The following is a 21,059-nucleotide window of genomic DNA, read 5'->3' as shown; positions in this document are numbered from 1 at the left end:
TAAAAGTAGAAGAGAAAGCAAGCTAGTTCTGGGTCCCAGTGTTTCCCGTACACTTAGGTAAGCAATATGGCAGCTGCCAGGTGTTGAAGTGCTATAAAGCACTGAACATAGGGGCAGGCATATATGTGAATGTTCATAATAAATGATAATGTGCCTTCCACTATGCCAAGCTCTTTAAAAACTACATCCCAGTGAGTAGGATATGGTTTTTAATACCGGCCTCTTCTGTGGTGATACATAATACCAGCCTCTTCTATGAGGCTATTATGCAATATGTTGTATAGAGGAAACTGAGGTAATACGGGTTTAATAATTTGCCCAAAGTTCTGCTGTTAGGATTTGGTGAAACCCGTATTTGAAATGGGTCTATTAGAGTCTGGCGCCTAAGCTTCAGACCACTACAGTCAAGTGATGCTGCCAGTCCAGTGCTAATCTCTCTGCATTAAAAAATTACTGAGAATTTTCCACATATTTAGGTAGGGCTTTGGAGTGGTTTCACATGCCATGAAAATAATATTTTAAATTAATTTATATACTGCTGAATTCCACAATGGATTTGAATCAGGTATTCCAAAAACATAAGGCTGCAGAATTTTTCCTCTGTTTGGGCTCTTTTGTTCTCTTTATTAATGCATGATTTTGCTTTCACTCGTTAAGGCACACACATTTGATCTCTTGAGCCCGAGGTATAGTATGACTAACAAGCTGGCCCATCTCTAGAGGTACTGACTTTTCCTTTTCAAGTGCTAGAGCGGCTACAAACTCCGATATTGTCATGGATTGGTGATGTGACAAACTTATTGGTAAGTTTCATAGCCACAGAGGATTACTGGAACGTCTCTAGGTTTAGAAGCTTTGTGCCAATTTTCCTAGCTAATAGAGTAAGAAGTCACCTCCCAAGGATGTCTGGCAAATCTCCACTGGTTTATAATGAAACCCTCCACAGACTGAGACGACTCTTCGATATCAGCAGTTAAGGAGGGTATTTTATCACATAGAAAGAAATGACTAAGAGAAGTGATTGTGAATTCGCATTACAGGTTATCAGAATTCAGTGTACAGTGGCCATGATTCCTCCTAAATAAGATGGTACTTACTTGAGAGGAGTGTGATAAAAGGATATTGCATTCAACCTTGCAAGCTGACCTGTGGGTGACAAAGGACACAAACGAGAAAGGTGACACGTCAAGTCTGTGATGCAGTCAAGCTGGTGAATTATTTGGCGGGAAGCCATGCACAAAGACACAGAGAGAGAGAGAGTCTATTGAGTGAGAGTAGCGTTCCAATCCATCCAACAACCGTATGCTCACAGAGCATTCAAGGAAAACCACTTTGACATCTCCTCCAGGGAGTATGTTTTGAGTGGAGATACACAGGCCTGTTATAGTCTCCCAGCTTCTTCCCTGTCCTTTTCTTGGAAGTCATGAGGCACGGAAAAGAAAGGAGAGGGAGAGGGAGCTTAAGATTTACCAGCGATGGTAAAAACTCCAGTTGAATCTTAAGTCATTAGTAGAAATTCCCTTCATTTTACTCATAGAAGGTTACATTTTTAATTCATTAAAATGAATAAAAATCTAATATTTTATATGGAATGGTGTAAGCCTGCCTCCCTTAAAGAAAAAAAAGAACCCCTAGAATTTCAGTTACTGCTGCCACTGAAATACAGAAGGTGACACGAGCTCAAAGAGGGAGGCCTAATAGACGCTTCTAATAGCATGAACCAGAACATTGGTTATTTAGTCACATTTTTCTTTCCTTCTACACAGCAGAGCCTAAGGAGATATGTGTAGGAATGCCATCCCTGAGGATTCCCAGAGACACCCTGGCAGTTTCATTCCAGGCTGATTTCCTTCTGTGGAGGAGCCATAGAAGGCGCAAGGAAAACTGCACTCTCCATGGGTTTGCAATCAGGCGAATTTGTTTCTGAAGCATGGGAGCACGGCTCTACATATAGAGTCACTTATGTTTTTCTTTTACCCTCTTTCTTTGGTATGGCTAGACCAACATTTTAGTTGCTTCTGAAATGTGGTCGTTAAACTGAAAAGGCAAATGGAACATTCCAAAGAGGCAAAACTTTGTTTTTATATTGCTGGGATGGAATTGGTGGGCTTCCGTTTCCCTCCTGCTACAATCTTCTTGGAAAAATATTTCAAGGCTTTATCTATAGACATATGAGAAATAGGAGATAATTTCTTCTCTCTGCTTCCCTTTTTTTTCAATAACAAAGTAAGACAGGGCACTGCTGCCCTAATAATATGCAGAAAGCCTGGGTATGGTGGCTTATGCCTATAATCCCAACACTTTGGGAGGCCGGGGTGGGAGGATCACTTGAGACCAGGAGTTCAATACCAGCTTGGACAACATGGTGAGACCCTGACTCCACAAAAAATAAAAACATTAGCCAGGCATGGTGGTGTGCACCTGTAGTCCCAGCTACAGGAGGCTGAGGTGGGAGGATAGCTTGTGCCCAGGAGTTAGAGGCTGCAGTGAGCTATGATTGGGCAACTGCACTCCAGCCTGGGCAACAGAATGAGACCCTGTCTCAAAAAGAAAAAAAAAAAGGAAAAAAGAAAAACAAAAGAATGTGCAGAAAACTTGTCTGGCCACTGGACAGAAAGTCTGACAGGATAAAATAACCATTGAGGCCCAGGTTCAACCAGGCAAACATCCCTGAAATACCAGAACCCCAAGTAAACGCCTGTGAATTAAAGGGAAAAGGAACATACCAGGAAGACAAACAAGGTAGTAGAACGACCTCCATGGGGAAATGCATGGCCTTTAGGATGAGTCGCTGGTTACATTTATTGCCAATTGTATATGTCATGTTCAGTGAATTTTCAGGTGGCTAACATACTCCAGTACATCTGAAAATCTGTCCGTCCATACCTTGATGAACACAGGCCTGCAGTTCCCCCAACATTTCTCCAGGAATTTTGCCATTCTCCTACTTACACTTGGCATGAGGTGGGCAATGAGGAAGACTGAGGGCAAATAATTCAAGGGAAGTGGTGGGTTTATGCTTATTCAATTTCCTCGTGCCCTGTTCTTTGTATCCATTTAAAAATAATTATGAGAAAAAGCATCTTTCTTAATGGGCCTGAAAGAGTCTGGACTGTTAGTTACCTTGTTTTTTTCCAATATAAGAAGGCTGTTTATCACTTTCTAGGGCAGAATTTAAAAGAATACATGGTGAGTGACAGCTATAAGAGTGGGTGCAGTGGCTCACGCCTGTAATCCTAGCACTTTGGGAGGCTGAGGTGGGTGGATCGCGAGGTCAGGAGTTCAAGACTGGCCTGGCCAATATGGTGAAGCCCCTTCTCTACTAAAAAATACAAAAATTAACTGGGCGTGGTGGTGCATGCCCGTAGTCCCAGCTACTCGGGAGGCTGAGGCAGGAGAATCACTTAAATCAGGGAGACGGAGGTTGCAGTGAGCCAAGATCACACCACTGCACTCCAGCCTAGGCAACAGAGTGAAATTCTGTCTTAAAAAAAAAAGAAGTATTTAAAATGTTTACTGTCTAAAAGACACGGATTAAGGAGTGAAATCAGTGTATTTTGAAAAGGGAGGGTGGAAGGAAGAAGGCTCTGATTCTGCAAGTCATGTCAAAGACCCAGCTACCAAGGGGTTGAGGCAGAAGAGGTGGGGTGGGGTGGGCCTGGATCCCTGTACCTGATAAGCTTCATCTTGCAGCTTCTGTTTCAGGTATTCCTCCATCTGGAGCTCATTCTCCAGCTGCCGGACAGAGTCATTTTCATAGTTTTCATCTTCAGGCTGCACATAGGGATCTGCATCCTCCGTAACCCTGAAAATAAACCACAGATGACATGTTAGAGCAAATCTTAAAAGAGAATTACAAGCGGGATTCATGTGTGAGCTGTAGTTTCGTTGGCACCTTTATTTCCCCTTAGTTCTCCAAGTCACTTTCATGTCTTCTTTAGTAATACCTAAAAAAAACTTGGAAACATTTTGGAGGTTTGAAGCGATATATGATCAAGGTATTTTCATACACAATTTTTTTATGGCAGTTGCGATCATTGGTCATTTATCTTTTCCTAGGGTTTACTGGAATGGGTTGGCCCTTTAAATGTTCTATAATTTAAAAAATGGCAAACATCTTTTGAGGGGATACAAAGTTTTCCCAATCTGAGGGCTCTTTTTATTCTTGTTTAAAATAGAACCCAAGATCACTTTCTGTGTGGAGAGTGAGCCCTCTAGTGAAATAATGCTTAAGGACATTTGGTTATAATTTAACCTCTTTTGTGTTACACATACGCACATACATGCACATACACATATGCATGCATACCACATTCATGCCTTATTTTTATAGAATTAAGTCTTAGAATATCAGCTAGTCAATGCCAGGAGGGCTACTAACCCATAACTCTTGACCTTAGCTCTAAATCTGAAAAAAAAAAAAAAAAAAAAAAAAAGCATTTTAATTATCCAATTCCACTATCAAATAAATAGATAAAAATGACCTCATTCCCTAATGTGGGACTCTGTCTCCATCTATTCATCCTAGACTATGCAAAGCTTTTCATGGGGCTGGACATAAACTCACTACCTAAATCATAGGACTAAAAGAGTCTCAGGGTAAAACACAAGTACATGTTTAGACAATAGAAATATTAAATTATTCCCTAAAATGAAATAAGTGGTCAAGAAGAAGTTTCTAGGTTGGAACTTAAATGTCGTTGTTTGCGTTTATTTATAGCTGTACAACATGTTCTGGTTATTTTTGGAGGTTTGGGGCCAGGCTAAATGGGTCTGCCCAGGACTCTGTTAACTTTCCTTCCCTAACTCCTGAGTCACATGTTGGTAGCTGGTACTGCTACTCAGCATACCAGGGCTAGCAGATTAGGGTGGCCTCAATAGTCTTGGATTTTAGAATTAGGACAAGGAAATTCTAGCTAACTGCCATATAAATGCTTAATAATAAAAAGTCAAATAGATATGAATTTACCAGACAAAACAGATGACAACTAATTCACCATTTTGAATAACAAATCCAACAATTCTAGAATACAGAAGAAAGGACAAGAAAGCAAACTATATTAAGCAGCAGCGTACTGCCATGTTAAGTCCCATGATAATGGTTTTGTTTTGATCCTACTCTCTGCTGCTTCATAGCTGACTCTCAGACCACACCTCTTGATAATTCTCCATGATTACTGATTGTTTATTCACTGCTTGGATGGAGAGCCAAACACCAGAAAGGCCTCTGTTTAGTTTCTTCTCTGAGTCTTTAAAATGGCCAGTTTATTTTTATAGACTAGTCTGAAGTACTTTTCATATTAAGCAACATCACCCTTCTGAAGTATTTTTAGCATTCAGAAACTCCCTCCCCCAGCTTTTGGGTCAGCCTTTGCCCACATTTCCCATAACTCCATGAACCATGGTCATTTAATGGGCCACTTTCTTCATTTCTTTTGTTTTTCTCCTTTTTCTCCCAAGTTGGGCTCTGCAGCTCTGTCCCAGCTTTGCCTTTGTTTCTCAGCTTTGGTTTTCTCTGTTGACTAATTTGAGCTGATCCAGGGTCACAGAAAGTCTAGTGGGGACGTTACTGATGCTGCTGGTTTCTGACAAGCTCCAGAACTGGGTGAAAACTTTTGCAAATAAGTCTTTGGAGGGTCAGATTCATACAAATTCAACAAGTCAACCAAACTGGATTTCTTTATAATGAGATTTTATACATGTACTTATTTCAATTCCAAATACTTATGTGATGTTGTTTACACCAATTCTGGACAGAGACCTCTCCAATGTCATGGTATCCTCTAAGTGCAAATACAATAAGTTCAGAAGATAGGATGATTTATCTCCTGAACTAGTCTGTGAGTCCTAAAAGGGTGGCAGCAGTTTTTTAATACTATTTTGTATAGCACTAGCAATGTGCCTTGGGCAAGGCAGGCTCTTGATAGGCACTGGTTGGTTTAGGTTATTGATAACTCTCTGGAAATTGTAAGAGGGGAAATATTACAATGCCGAATTTAAATGTAGCACCCTTCTATATCTCTGGCAGAACAGAAAACTATGTCACCCCTTCTGAAGGTTAAAAAAACCCTAAACAATTATGCTTTTACTTTCTTATTGTCTCCTACAGATTGTTTTGTTACTGAGAAAATGCTTCCAAGCGGAAGATACTCACATGTCGCCACGCATGGTACTTGTGGTAGCTCCACTGTGAATGTACCCAGGTTTTCGGGCATGGATTTGCGCTAGAAAAGCCTTTTCAGAGGTTGGTGAGGGAACAAGATCCTCAAACTGAGTCCGTGCAAATTCAGAATCCACATTACTCTCTGTTTCACTCCCAACCTCTAGCAGATACAATTGAAGAAATAAAGAATGACTCGTTAGATTTTTTTATGACCTGCAAATAAAGGAGTAGGCTTCACAAATCAACCTGTGCTGTGTAAAATGTTAACCAGTTATCATATTTTAATCAAATACATTTTTATTGTTTCAAAATAAGAATTGATATTGACATGAATTACTATAAAATCATTTGGTATACAGCATTTTTAAAATCTCAGAAATGTTATGAGGAATTTTTGCCATCTTAGTAACTGACTTAACTCTTTAAGACTTCTACTTTTTCCTTTCTGTAAGAGACTTAACTAAAATTGTTACTTTTGCTTAATATTACACTAATTTAAGAACTATGAGTTAAAACCTAATCCTAACCATAAAATATTCACCTAAAATGCTTAAAATATGAACTTAAAATATTAAGTGAACCCTATCACTTAATACTTTAAAGAATTATGAGTATAAACTAACAGTACTTAAGACTTCTACACCAAGAATAACTTTGTACTCATCATTTGCTAGGGCAGTGGTTACCTGCCATTAATCATGATGTATTAACTACTATCTTTTTATTCCGTTTGGTAATCTTAATCTAAATTAGCAGCAACAATTTTCAATTGAGAGGCTTTAAGAAAGCGAAGTCCAGGATTTTTTTAAAACTGAAGTTTTATTTCTTATAGTTGCAATCTCAGCTGTAAGACCATAGTCTTGCCAGACAAATCTCTTGGTAGGTCGGCCTTAAGGAATAGATGGAGATGTATTAGTGACTGGTAAGATATTTATTTGCATATTCATACTGCTAAAGTTTTGAACACTCTTTGTAGTATTAAAAGGATAAAAAGTCTCCTTAAATTTTATGCTATTTATTTCTGGGCAGATCTATCTTCAGAGACATTGCAAAGGTAAATTTCAGTTTGAAATTCAAATTTAAATGATCAGGCATTCCAAATTAATGAAACCTAAATAGATAAGGGCTGGGAATCCCAGCACTTCGGGAGGCTGAAGCAGGAGGACTGTTTGAGCCCAGGAGTTCAAGACCAGCCTGGGGAAAAAAGGCAAGACCCCATCTCAAAAAAAGATAAATAATACACTTGACCCTATAAAATAACCTTAGCATCATGTTGTTTTAGGTCACCATAGATGTTAACAGTGGCTGTCTTTGGATTCCAGAATTATAGGTCAGTTTGAATATTTTTCGTTGTTCTTCTCTGCCTTTTTCAAACTTTCTACATTGAGTATGTGTTAATAGTCTTTTAATAAGCAAAATATAAACATTACTTAAAAAATCTGAATAGGCCAGGCATAGTGGCTCACACACTTTGGGAGGCCGAGGCAGGAGGATCACTTGAGGCCAGGAGTTTGAGACCAGCCTAGGCAACATAGCAAAGACTCTGTCTCTATGAAAACAACAACAAAAAATTAGCCAGGCGTGCTGGCATGTGCCTGTAGTCTCAGCTACTAGGGAGGCTGAGGTAGGGGGATCACTTGAGCCCAAGTGTTTGACATACCAGTGAGCTATGATGGTGCCACTGTACTTCAGCCGGGCAACACAGAGACACCCTGTCTCAAAAAACCAAAAACAAACAAACAAAAAAAAAACCCCTCAAATCTGAATAGACCAACAAAATATCACATAGAGCTTTAAAGAATCTTTTGATATTAGACAATAAGCAGATCTCTAAGAGAGACCCCTAGCACTTATGGATCCCTCCATGATGAGCAGACAAATGAGAGGGAATCAGGAACTCACCAGAATTCAGCTCTTTCACAAGAGAGGACATAGTGTTAGTGATGGAATCTGCAGCCACTAGCAAGTCATTCCTTAAGTTTCTTCTTGAACCTTCAGGGAAGAAGAAATAATTTAAAAAACCAAAGCTTCCTTCTATCCTAAATTTTTATGTTGTTTATTTATCCTTCCCATTAATAACCTAAAGCAAGAAAACTTCTAAGACTTCTCCTTTTCAGAAGTGCTTTAGTTCATTTCCTGAAACAAGAACAACAACAACAACAAAACACTGCTTAGGGCAGTGGGTCCTGCAGTAAGAAGACATGGCTAATGATGGAGTTTCATATATTATTTGTCCATATGGGGACAATTTTGAAGGTGAAAGAGAGCAGTATGAATAAGGCTGGCTGACCTGGCAAAACTGGGATGGTTCCAGGTAAACCAGTGCGTGTGGTCACCCTTCTTAAGAATAATCCACACAGATGAAAAATCAGGTTTTCCAGGAGAGCTGCGCCTTCCTAGCTGCTATTATTTTTCTTGCCCTTACCTGGTGGCTGAGCCCTTTAGATTCTGGTCTCTACTAGGACATGCGCTGTCTCCTATCAGGGCTCTTGGAGCTCTTCCTGCCAGTGTAAGTACCACTTGGGAATGGGAAACCCACATGCACTGAATGCCCCCAGAGCGTGAGAAAGGGGTGAGGATTCTTGTTTCTTCTGCCAAGACATGGGCAGATGCATGTCTGGTACTATAAATTGGAACTTAGACTATGTTTCTTTATGGCAGAGAAAGATTATTATTTTGTTTCAGGCACACTAAGGGTTAATGGAATTTCATTCCGTCATTTTTCAGAAAGTAATACTAACTAAATAAAATAATAAATGTTTAAATTAAAAAAATCAGAGTAGTTAAGTAAAAACATTAATTATAATGGAAATCACAAATTGATTTAAAATATAGTACATTTCTTTAAAATATGATTAAGAGAAGGGATATTTTCTTTCTAAAAATTAAAAGTTATTTTGTGAATTACATTTTTAAAAACTCTTGAGTTATATTCAGTGCCTAGAAGAAAAAGTTCTAATATAGATCCTTCCTTTTCCCTCAGAGTAGAGAGTTCATCATTCTCTCTCATTGAAGTGTGTTAAGATTTTATCACCCCTCTACATGGACGAGAGTACCTTTTTCCTCGCACTTTTGCTATCCCTGGATATTATGATGTTTCAAAACATTTTTTTAATCTTCTAGGCAAAAAGTGATACTTATTAAAATTTATATTTCTGTAATTAGAGGTTGAACATCTTTTCATATATTTATTGGCAATTTCTCTTTGTTCTTCTGTCTATTCGTATATTTCACCTGTTTTTGTTTTGGTGGTGTCTATTCTTTCTGATCTCTACATGATTTTTGTATAACTGAAATTATGAAACTTGATTGACACATATACTGGAAATGGTTTCCTCAAGACTGTTTTCTGTCTTTTAACTTTGTTTATGATCTCTTTTGCCTTAAAACCCATATTCAAACATGTCTCTCTTTTCCTTAGATCTCTATGTGAAGACTTCGAAGAATGTTAATGATATATTGCTAATTTAAAGAAAATGCAAATTGCAGACCCCAAAATGCAATGCATGATCCTATTTGTGTGAAAAAAAGAGTATGTGTCTATAATCACATCCTTAAACATATCTATTTACACAAAAGCAAAACTTTGGGAAGGATCAAACTGTTAATAGTGGTTACTTCTGGGAATGAAAGCTGCCGGTGAAGGTCTACAGAATGATTTTTTTATTATTATTCTCTATAAATTTAAAAAGTGATAGTAAGAAGAGGTTTTAAAAAGTGTTAAAAATATTTCTAAATTAATAAAGTTACTCTCCCTGTCATGGGAAAGTGCTGGCTGGCATCCCCATCCCTCTTTGTACTCCTCTAACTGCAGAGGCTTAACCCTGTAGCCCTGCCTTACAGAGGCAATGATTCAACTCTTCGGGGCATCAGAACAGGGAATCTGTCAAATGACTAAATGTCCTTCTTGGTTACCTCATTGCTAAAGAGCTGTGATTACTTATCTCAGTCTTGACTTTAATATAAAGAAAAGACAATATGAGATAAGAAAATCTCTAAGAATTAAAAAAAATAGATTACATTTATGAAGTTTTCTGGGGGTATTGGTGAAAAGATTTCCTGTCTTTTGATGAACAAAGACTTACTAAAAAATAAGGCAGGGCAACAAAAGCCAAAGGAAGGTAAAATCGTGAAGTGAGAACAAATTGGTGTAGGGAGTTCCCAAAATGGCTGGCAGGCCAGGCTCTGACACCAGCCATGAAAGACCCTACAATAGTCACATGTGGTTCTGACAACTCTTGACCACTCAATAGACCTTGGTGACCTATTTGCCACATAAAAGCAGACCACAACAAAAAATAAAGCCACTTACTTTGTGCAAATGCCTCTTGTACATCTCCCCCTACTCCTGTGAGGGAGTCCTGCGGCGTGTGCGTCGGGGTGGAGCAGGCTGACGCTGACCGGATGGGCATGGGAATTGGCCTGCTGATGGTGTGGCTGGGGGAGGAGCGGGGAGAGCCTGCCCCCTGAGTCTGGAGAGACAATGCAGGTCATTAATTTGCTTTCCCAAGAAAATGTCATATGTCATCCCCAATGCCTCAGTTGATTGTTGAAAACAGTGACAATGAAATTTCAAAGCAGGAGGAAATCCTAGGTAATTGTGTTGGTAATCCTAAAGCTAATTTGCAGGTGCAGATAATTTAGGACCTTATTGTATGTAATCTGAAGTTTGGGTTAAATATTGAAAGCTAAAACTATTAGTACAGCATTGCTCTACAGTATATGGGACATGTGCCCATAAAATGAAGGTACTGTTAAATGCAGATAATTACAAGGTGTGGATACTTTCTCCTTGAAGGAAGGTCTCCGAGGACTAAGAAGACATTAAGGAGAAAGTTTAAAATACAAACTAGAAGACTATTTGCAATGGATGCTTTCTGAATTTTCAACCTGACTGTACTAGCATTATCTTTAGAGGATAAGAGTTTAAATCATGTCATACAATATTGTGCATATTAAGTCTCAAATTAAGAATCAAATGAAGTGTAAATTGTTTTATCCCTATTTTATAGTAAAAGCTGATTTTGTCAAATTAGTAACTCAGGGATTCCAATGGGGAAGAAGAAGAAGAAGAAACCTTGTTTTCTAATTTTTTGGTATTATTTCCTGCAGGAAATGTCCTTCTCTTCTCCTATGAAAAAGCAGTATTCTAGCAGGACAATAAGAATAGTAGGATTTAAAGACAAGTAAAGAAAAAAGTAGAAAACAACTGAAGGAACTTATCTTTGCACTACAGTTTTTGGCATGAAACTATTCTGAGACTGTCACACTTTGAATCTTAAGGATTTGTCTCTAAATGAGGTGCCTTGGAAATATTCTCCCTGTTTTAATAATTAGTTGACAAAAGAAGTCAGCCACATGCGTAAGAAAATGCAAGGAGACCCTTGAGTGCATACACAACAGATTAGGTGTTCACATCAATTCCATCCCAGTCTGTTTGCTGTGGTTGCTAGAGTGAGAATTCTTCTCCAGCAAGGCCCAGAGAGTCATCATTAACCCATTCAAACTCCTAGATGTATACCACCAGAGCAATGCTCTGGAATATTCCATTTAGATATTTGCTTTGGGCTCAGTGGCTTGTGGTTAAAACACACCACATCAATCCTGAAAAATGCCATGCTGTTAGCTCTCCAGGCTCAGCATCACGCATAATTGTTAAAGCCATAAACTGAGAAAAACCCAGAATTAAAAATGAAGCAAAACAGAACAGAGCACAGAAAATAACCCATGGGGTGCCCAATGGGCTGAGGGTCCCATTCTTTCACTCTCAACAGTACCTTGTAATGGTCTGTCCAGGCCCAAGGAAGAGAACTTTGCCCGGTTGTGATGTTTTTGCAGCCTGCTTCCCTCGGCCTGCTCAAGGAGGGGTCTAGTTTTCCCCAGCAAACTCTGGCAGCTCAGCCCCATTACCTTGAAACCTTCTGCTTCTGAGCTACCACTGCATCCTTGACCTTCCCATGCCAATAATAAATAATTTCACATTTGCGTTGTGCCTTATGATGTTCAAAGGGTTTTCACATACACTCTCACTGATTTCTCTCCATGACCCTGGGAAGTATGCATTCTTACTCTAAATGTGAAGTTGTGGAGCCCAGTACTCAGAGAGGTGAAAATAATTGCTTTATCTGGAGACGGAGTCAGAGGGGCAGGGCTGGGGCTGAGCCCAGGGGCTCTGAGTGCCCTGGGCTGCGGGAGCCTTGCTGGCCATGGCTGGCAAAAAGTCCCTCAATGGAGACAGACGCTGGTCAGATGCCCTGAGCTCTTCCTACTTTGGCAATTCCTCTTGTACACCCTTTTTAAGGCAGAGGCCTTAGCAAGGCTCCTGAGCCTCTTGTCTCTGTCCTCTTTATCAAGGGACCAAACACAGCCGGGAGTGGGGACTAGAGAAGGGAAGTTGGACAGAGTGGTTATTAAGAAGTAGGATTCTCTTGGCTATCAGTGTGGGTTACCGTCTCATCCCTGGGAACTCAGATTGTCTTCCATGGTGAGAAGTTCACAATAATAATATAACTCCACTTTTGTAAGTAATTCAATGTACAAAGCACTTTTACATACACTGTTTTGTTTCATTTTCCTAGTACAGTGGTACAAGTGGTAATATCTTATATTTGAATAGCAATTTGCAGTCCATAAAGCACTTTAACCCCTAATACTTCATGTAATCCTCTTAATAACCATATGAAGTATTATTATTCCCATTTTATATATTAGCAAACTGAGGCTAAGAGGAGATAACTGGATTACCCAAGGTTTCTGAGCAAGAGAATGGCAGAGATAAAATTGATCCCCAGTCTTTAGACTCCAAGCTCAGGGTTTGCCATGCTGAGTCTAAGGACTGTGGGCACTGTGACCAGCCATCATACGCTTCCATCTATGCTTCACTACTATAGAAAGGTTCAGCAGCCTGAAGAGGGAAAAGACACAGGGCACAGACCCAGTAGGACCACCTTGTGGTGCTGGAGCAGCGTCCTAGGGCTTCCTGCTACTGGGCCAGGCAATACCTTTTAGTTGCTGGATCATGGAAAAGATGTATGGGTGCTCAGGGTGATGGGAGGGCCTTGGACTGTTTATCAATTGGTACAGAAGTACAGGCCTACAATCTCTTATTTGCAATTCTGAAAGCCAAAAAAGCTCTGACAAACACTGGTCATTCCATAATGAATTTGGTCTTAATGGATGTGAGGTAACTGATACGATATCTGCATCATATTGCTTTTCAAAATCAGATAAATGCCAAATTCTGGAACATATCTGGATCTAGTGATTTGAGATATGGGGCTATGGACCATATTTCACTACTTTAATGTCTGTTCTGGGGCTGTAGTGCACACCAGCCTTGCTTATACCTCTTATACCAGGTTCTCCAGGGTGCTGGGGGCTCCTCCCTCTAGGCAGCATTTGTAAGAAGACTCATATGTCTGGCCCTTCCACCTCCTTTTCTGTAAGCCTCTCCCCATCTCCTAGTGCACTGGGCTGTTCTGCTAATTCCTGTGGGTCTGAGGCATGCCTCACCCAACCTCTCCCTGCTCAGTTCCTGGTCTCAAAGGCAACTTTTGCTACTCCTTTCTGTGGGCATTCTTTTTCAAAACTCCCATTAGTGGTTCTGCAATAAGAAGAAAATCATTGACTCTCGTTGTGTGTTAAGGGAAAAACAGTTGACTGAATCTAAATTACACCAATGTGTGAATGATGAATAGCCACCATTTCCCAAAGGAATCTCTAATTGGTGCAATTTCATGCAGTTTGATTATGTGAAGAATTTAGGTGGAAGATCCTGTGCTGAAGAGAATAATCAGTTGCATCTTTCCCACAACTGGCAACTCCCATGTCACATCCAGCCTTTACCCAGACTTTTGGGGGTAGGACACTGACACCCTGGGTGATCACGGCCCCACCTCTCCATGTCAGGACACTGTCCAGTTTGATGCAGAGCATCTTCCTAGTGCCTACCCACTGTGAGGAATGCCATCTCTGGCCTTCCTTTCTGTTCTGTTCTTGTAGGAACACTAGGAAAAGGCAGTGGCCTCTTGGCATTGGGGCAGATCAGTGATGATGTCACTGAGTTTCATTTTCACAGGAAGTGGCCTCGGTGGGATGGTGGCCTCCAGCCTGGTCATGAGGCATGGTTGTCTGCTAACAACTGTAGAAGAGTTAGAGTGAATAATCTCTGTGAATATCCTTTCCTGGAAATTACTCAATGATTAATGGAGCAAAGACTTAAGGGACAATGGTCCATGCAGATCAATATATAGATCTAAAATTCCCAAGGAGAGAGTTGATTTATGGAAGAAGGAAAACATATATCACACTTGGCAAATTTAAAATAGCTCACTTCCTGGAGAATAAATGAAAAATTAATCTCTATGCACCATCCTCCAAGTCTACTCAACTTGCTGTTGTATCCATTTTTTTAAAAAGTCTGACAAGATTCATACATTTTCTGATATTTTCCAGGAAGTGTTTTGATTTCTATTCACCACCAGAAATGAGGGATGCTTCAAGGAAAGGAGCAAATGTCTAATTGTTGAATCAGGACACCCTGGTGAAACAGCAGAGAATTATATATCCCCCTCCCCGCTAGACCTGAAGAGTCTGCCTCTCAGTTTGGCTGAGAATGCAGTCTGGTCATGCCTGGCCGCACCTAGCAGCTTGGGAAGGTGCAGCAAAGCAGTGCTTAGCAGCATTCAGCCCTGTTTTTATCCTTTCTTCCAATATAAATTCACTGGCTATCATCACACTGATGATAATTTTTATAATCAGGCCTTTTAAAGTGCTCATTGTGTATAGAGTGTTGTGGGGGTACATGAGAGGTGATTAATTCCGACTGTTCAGGCAGGAGGCATCATTTGACTTGGGTTTTAACAGTGAAGATTTGCAGGCAGAAATGAGAAAGTGTGGGGAGAAGAGAAGAGCAGAGCAACCTGGGAACAGCAGGAGCAAGGCATGGGAAATGTGACACGTATTGTGGAGAGGGTGGGAAGGCCATTGTGGCTCTGGTGTCAGGCTGGCTGCTGGGTGTAGAGAGAAATGAGGCTAGAAGAGGGAGATGGGCAGGTCTCGGGACCTCCAGGGTAGACTTTATTGTGAACCAGAGAGTCATCTTCCTAGGTTTTTAAGCAGAGAAATAATATTTACTTACTTAGAATTAATTATAATAATCAATACTTAATTTTAAAAAGAGAGAGTCTGGGAGGGTATGTTTTTGAACACTAGACGATCATCTTTATATTGCAGTTGATCATTTCTGAGGTGAATTATCCCTCTCCCTCGCTTTTGACTGGTTCATGCCTGCATAGAATACCCACCAGAGAGGATGAGCTAGGAAAAGCCAGGAAGGTGAGGCCCAAGCAGGTTATTGCTGGCCTGCTAGTATTCCATGAAGTGTTTGGAAGAAGTAGAAACCTGATGACTACAATTTCCTGACTTAATTGGACCATCCAGTTATAAACAGAGAAGAGAATAAGGGTAGGAGATGGAATTTGGAATGATGCTTGACTTTTTTTCCCCACCAAGTTAGAACAATTGTATTACTTAACATAATACCAATGTATAGACATTATCTTCCCAAATAAGAAACAATTCAATCCCAAAGTTTAAAATGTAGTTTAAAAAAATGGATCCTTATTGTAAGTCTGAAAAAAAGTCCTGCAAATTAGCATAAGCTTAATTTTACCCCCTTTTTTTTGAGACGGAGTCTCGCTGTGTCGTGTTGCCCAGGCTGGAGTGCAGTGGCACGATCTCAGCTCACTGCAAGCTCCGCCTCCCGGGTTCATGCCATTCTCCTGCCTCAGCCTCCCGAGTAGCTGGGACTACAGGCGCCTGCCACCACGCCCGGCTAATTTTTTGTATTTTTAGTAGAGACAGGGTTTCACCGTGTTAGCCGGGATGGTCTCGATCTCCTGACCTTGTGATCTGCCTGCCTCGGCCTCCCAAAGTGCTGGGATTACAGGCGTGAGCCACCGTGCACGGCCTTAGTTTTATCCTTGACTAAAATATGCACCCTGTACTAATCACCTCTCTCACACAAAAATGTTTATTATAGATAAAACTTAAGAAAAAATATCAGATGTTTCATTGCACTCATATAGAACATCTGTTACTGGCAGCCCTTCACTGTATTAGCTGTTTAATATACCTACTCAAATTATGGCGAAAGCCACACTCTGTAGATATTAGTATATCTAGGATCATATCTAATGTTACCAGAAATAGGAAAATATAAACTTACTGGACTTGTCTGTCACTTTCTCTAACATAAAAATGACTCTTTTTTTCTACTGTTAAAAGCAATTACAAGAGATCTGAACAAATTAAAAGTCCTTTTCAAATTTCTTTCCCTGATGGAGACACTGTTAATGAACTGTAAGGAAGAGAAGTGAATGTGTGTGTGTGTGTGTATGTGAGTGTGTGTAAAATATGGACCAAATTTGAAAAGTTTATATATACCTGTGTGTATGTATACCTATATACATACATTCATACTTATAGCTGACGTATAAGATTTTACAAAGTGCTTTCACATCCAGTATCTATCAAAATCTATACAATAATCCTATTAGCCATGGATTATCAATAGTTTGAAATTAATGAACATGAAAGTTAAGCTTACAGCCGTGAGCAAAGATCTGGTACCACTGTAATTCAGGTCTAATTCCAGTAACTTTGCTAAGAAAACTAATATTGAGACCTTACTTTCTGGAGTCAAAGTCAGTCTACTCAGTTTTAGACTGGTACATAATATTTGGAACTGGAAGTGTACCAGAAACTCTGGAACATATTGGTACTGCAATTATACCCCAGCTGCCTTCATTATTAAACGTTTTATGAGTGTTCTTTTTATGGTTCCTTCAATAAATCTTAAAGATACACAAAGAAGAAAGAGGGTAGGATAACTTCAATTCAAGTTTTGTAAAAAAAAATTTATTGCTTGTGATATCATAATCATCACATTATATTACAGGCACTATTTTTTTTAATTCATGTTCTCTCCTCGAGAGGGATAAATTCATGCATTACCTCTAACAAGAAACAATGTAAGTAGAAATTATATATGCCAGTATAATAAAACACTACATTGAACCACACAGACTTATGATAAAGCAAGTAGAGGTTATTAAATCCAGCACAATTTGTTGTGTGGGGGTGTTCTAAGTTTGGTTTTACAAAGACAATGTCCCCAAAGGGGAGAAACACTCATAAATAAAAACAGAATTTAGAAGCAGATGCCAGTCTAAAACCTCTAAATTCTCTCCTTAGATCATGTTTTACCATGAGAAGTCTATATTTGGACAGCATTTGTTTATTTCCTTGCAGAACCGCCTCTATAGGGCTGGGATTGATAAGGTTCTGCTTTTAATTTTGACTGAGGTCAGTATAAGAAACAGCCACATGAAATCTATGACTGCTTTTTTTCCTTTTCTATCGTCCAGTACTCCTATAAAGCTCCCAGTGAAGACTTTCTTTCATATTTTATGCCAACAGAAATTTTGTTCCCCTGAGAAGTGGTATTTCTGTACTGATAAAACCACCGATAATTTTCCTTTTTTTTTTTTTTTTGCTTCATTGCCAGAACATGCAGAGTAACATCCTTGTCCCTTAAGATTAGCATATTCACATTTTATTTTCTTTAGTTTTTGATTTTTCTATTTCAATTTTATGAAGTCACTGTTTATATCTTTTGTTGTAAGCTGCCTCAGGTCCTTTTTGAAAAGAGGCTTGTGTATAAAAGCAAAAAAGATAAATAAGTGAAATAGGCAAACTCTGCCACTACCCAGACGATGTATTGCTGACATCTGGGTGACGTGGGCCCTGGTCCTTGGGTACCGACACCGCAGTACCCGCTGTTGGCCCCCTGAGATGCAGAAGCTGCTGAGGGGCTTGGTGGAGAGGAGCTGGAAGGTGAGGGGGCAGTGGCGCCACCTTGGGGGCACTGCCACAGTTTGGCTCTGTGCATCCATCTGTTTACGAACTTCCTGGTCCATAGGAGCCTTTCAAGATCCTGCTGCCTGGGAAATGGCCTGGAAAGTATCCCCAAGGGAAATGGCTAAAGCAAGGCTGATGACGACAGGATGATTGCCCTCTCTCTCTGCTAGGAGGAGGGAGGTTATAATTGAACCTTATTTCCTTTTTCTATGCACATGCTAAATAAGAGACAGGAGAGGAAAGAAGCCATTTGCAGAGAAGTATCATGAAGAAGGCATTTTTCTTTACCATGATCTAAGTGTATTGGAAATACAATAGCAATACCCCATGTATGCATTCATGGGCAATTATACAGGCTGTATGTGTTATGTGTCCTTCACCCAGGGGGACTGTCTTCTGTTAAAATTTGACTTTAATTTAGTAAAGTAATTTTTTTCACAAAATACAAAATAATGTAATACATTATCTTTATTGTCTGACATTACAGATTGATTTTACACTTTCCTTTTTTACAGACCATGGGAATGAAGGGTAAAAATGTGTCCAGCATTTTCCAAACATTCTTTGTTACACACAAACACACATAATGAATAATAGAAAAGAGCATACAGAAGAAATGAAAGATACGTTGAAATTGGACAGGTTGTGGTTCTAATTGATCCATGGAAATAATGTGAAACTTTTAAATAATGCTAGTGAGTGGGATATATTGTCATACATAGCGTGGTACATGCACTTGAAATTAAAGCTGCTTTTATTTTGCTTCTATTTAATTTAATTTAATTTAATTTAATTTGTTTTTTTTTTTGAGTTTGCTGCTCCCCCTGCTGGCTCTTGAGCCTGACCACAGGTTCAGACAGCTCCAGTTTAGGCTATAAAGTCACAATGCCCCTATTTCCAGAAAAAAAAAAAAGTATGTAATGACCCTCTCGTCTCCCGGAGCCGAAAGGCTCTGGTGCTAAGGAAAAAGCTGAGAGTTACTTTTTAAAAAGAGATTACTGTCAACCAACAGTAAGGATTCTGCTTTGGGGAAGAGCCAAAAAGATGGGACGTGAATAGTCAGTTATGGAGTACAGTCTTTCTCTCACAAAATTGAGCACATTTTGGTGAGCCATGGGGAACAAGGCTCAATAATTGTGTGATGAAAAGGGATTTAATTGCCTGATTTTTATAAAAAGAGGTTTCACAGGTTTTCAGTAAAATGAAACCGAACTGAATACTCACAGTGTGAGTGGGTGTAGAGGTTAGCTTCTGAGTGCTGTGGGTTTTGGGATGACATGAACCTCAGGGTATCTCTAGTGACTGTGGTATCTCTCTGTTAAGAGAAGGGTCTGATCAACAACTTGAAAAGCTAAGACTGGTTTGAAACTTATACCTCTGGGGATCTAAAATGTTTCCAATAAATGACAATTCGTTCCCTTTTCTAAAAGATGTCATAGTTCTTCTTTTGATGTGGATAGTAGTGATAGTTATAAAAAATGCTAAATTTATATATCTCAATTCAAGCACTACATTGAAAAAGAAGCAAATTAGTATGACTTTTTTCTCTTTCCAAACTGAAGCATGAACATACATTAGAGCAAAAGCAATGAGAAAACCGCAGGTCGGCAGGCCCCTCCACTGTTAGTTAAGACCTGCAGTAGGGGACATAACTTACTCCCTGCTTCAGTTCTTCTTCCTACAGAAAGATTGAATCAATAACAGTTAGATTACCCAGGGTTCCAATAAGAGCATGTACACAGTGTGAAGGAACGCAAGATGGGGAAACATCAACACACCTTTGACGGCAGGTCCAGGCCTCTGCCACCTCAGTGACTATCACTCCAAGTCTACTTGGTTATTTGAGACTACAGGCCCATCTCTTTTCTCTGCATGTACAACCATTTTTCAACACAATCCACCTCTCTGTCCTGGTATGTGTACATCTCAATAAAAGGCAGTACTCTGTTAGGCTAGGTTGATACCAACATGGCTGGTGGTGAATAGACTTCTATCCCATAGGGAAAGAGTCATAGCTAATGGTGACAGAAGCAATAGAAACATAGGGGGCAGTTTTCAAAGCTTCCTGTCATTCACTGAGGGGAAAGATAGGTTCAGTCCTTTTCATTTGGTATATTTGGAAAGGGAAGCAGAAAGAGTTTATTTTTGGTTATCAAATGAGATTAACAGGCCAGAAACAGCAGCAGGTTATGAACTATCTAGTCTTGTCTTACCCAAGATAGATCAACAAGAATTGAATTCTACACTGTACATATCTAATTACTGAAAAGTCAATTTTGTTGAGTAAAGATAAAGTATTCCCAATACCAATTGTTAAAGAGGACACTGATGGAGGGAAAAGGAATAAAATAGAGTAAGGAAAACAAAAGAAAGTTTACAAGAACAGTGGCTGGGACAAAGTAGCTTTCAAAAAATAAAACAAAGAAGGAAAGAGGGGGCAATCAAGAAAGAAACAAAAAAAATGAAGAAAAAGGGAAGAAGAAAAGAGAAAGGTAGACAAAAAAAAGAGAAAGAAAGGACAGACAAAAAAAAGAGAGAAAGAAAGGACAGACAAAATAAAAACAACAAATGTTGGTGTGTTGGGGCCGTGGGACATCCACGGACTGAAAGTTGGGAGACCCTCTCTCGCAAATGAGCTGCCCCAGGGTCTTCCCTTTACCATTCTCCTATCAGAAGTTTCACTTCCTGCCTTTGACATGTCACAGTTCCAATCCATACTGCTTCTTGCTTGTTTATATCAGGCAGGATGATCATGTGGCACTGATCACATGGGCTGACTGTAGACATGTGGCCATAATTTGCCTGCTTTTGACTTTAAATGCAATTTAATGTATACTAAAGAAGGGAATAAGGCTTTACTAAAAGAAGAATGCCACTTCCCAATGAGAAAAATAGATTACAGCACTCTACAGAAGACTTCTATAAATCATCTTATTAAACATTTTACTTACAGAAGAGTAATGAGATATTCTCT

General features: G+C 39.6%; 1 protein-coding gene across 63 annotated transcripts in view; it reads right to left on the bottom strand.

Moving 5' to 3' along the window:
* The window catches only part of DTNA (dystrobrevin alpha), a 398,533-nt gene that overhangs the window by 5,971 nt on the left and 371,503 nt on the right, over positions 1-21,059 (bottom strand). For 35 of the 63 annotated variants that reach the window (XM_047437332.1, XM_047437326.1, XM_047437322.1 and 32 more), the window contains 5 exons: positions 10,476-10,635; positions 8,066-8,155; positions 6,155-6,323; positions 3,673-3,805; positions 1,098-1,146 (listed from right to left, as the gene is read on the bottom strand). In XM_047437332.1, the coding sequence (XP_047293288.1) occupies positions 1,129-1,146; positions 3,673-3,805; positions 6,155-6,323; positions 8,066-8,155; positions 10,476-10,635 (570 nt within the window). In that variant the 3' untranslated portion in view covers positions 1,098-1,128. Of the gene's footprint in view, positions 1-1,097; positions 1,147-3,672; positions 3,806-6,154; positions 6,324-8,065; positions 8,156-10,475; positions 10,636-17,061; positions 19,764-21,059 lie in introns of those variants that run through there. The other 28 variants (NM_032979.5, XM_047437336.1, NM_001386771.1 and 25 more) reach the window with 4 other exon arrangements.

Source organism: Homo sapiens, chromosome 18 (assembly GCF_000001405.40).
Source record: "Homo sapiens chromosome 18, GRCh38.p14 Primary Assembly".
NCBI lineage: Eukaryota > Metazoa > Chordata > Mammalia > Primates > Hominidae > Homo > Homo sapiens.
This window is presented reverse-complemented; position numbering and strand designations above follow the sequence as displayed.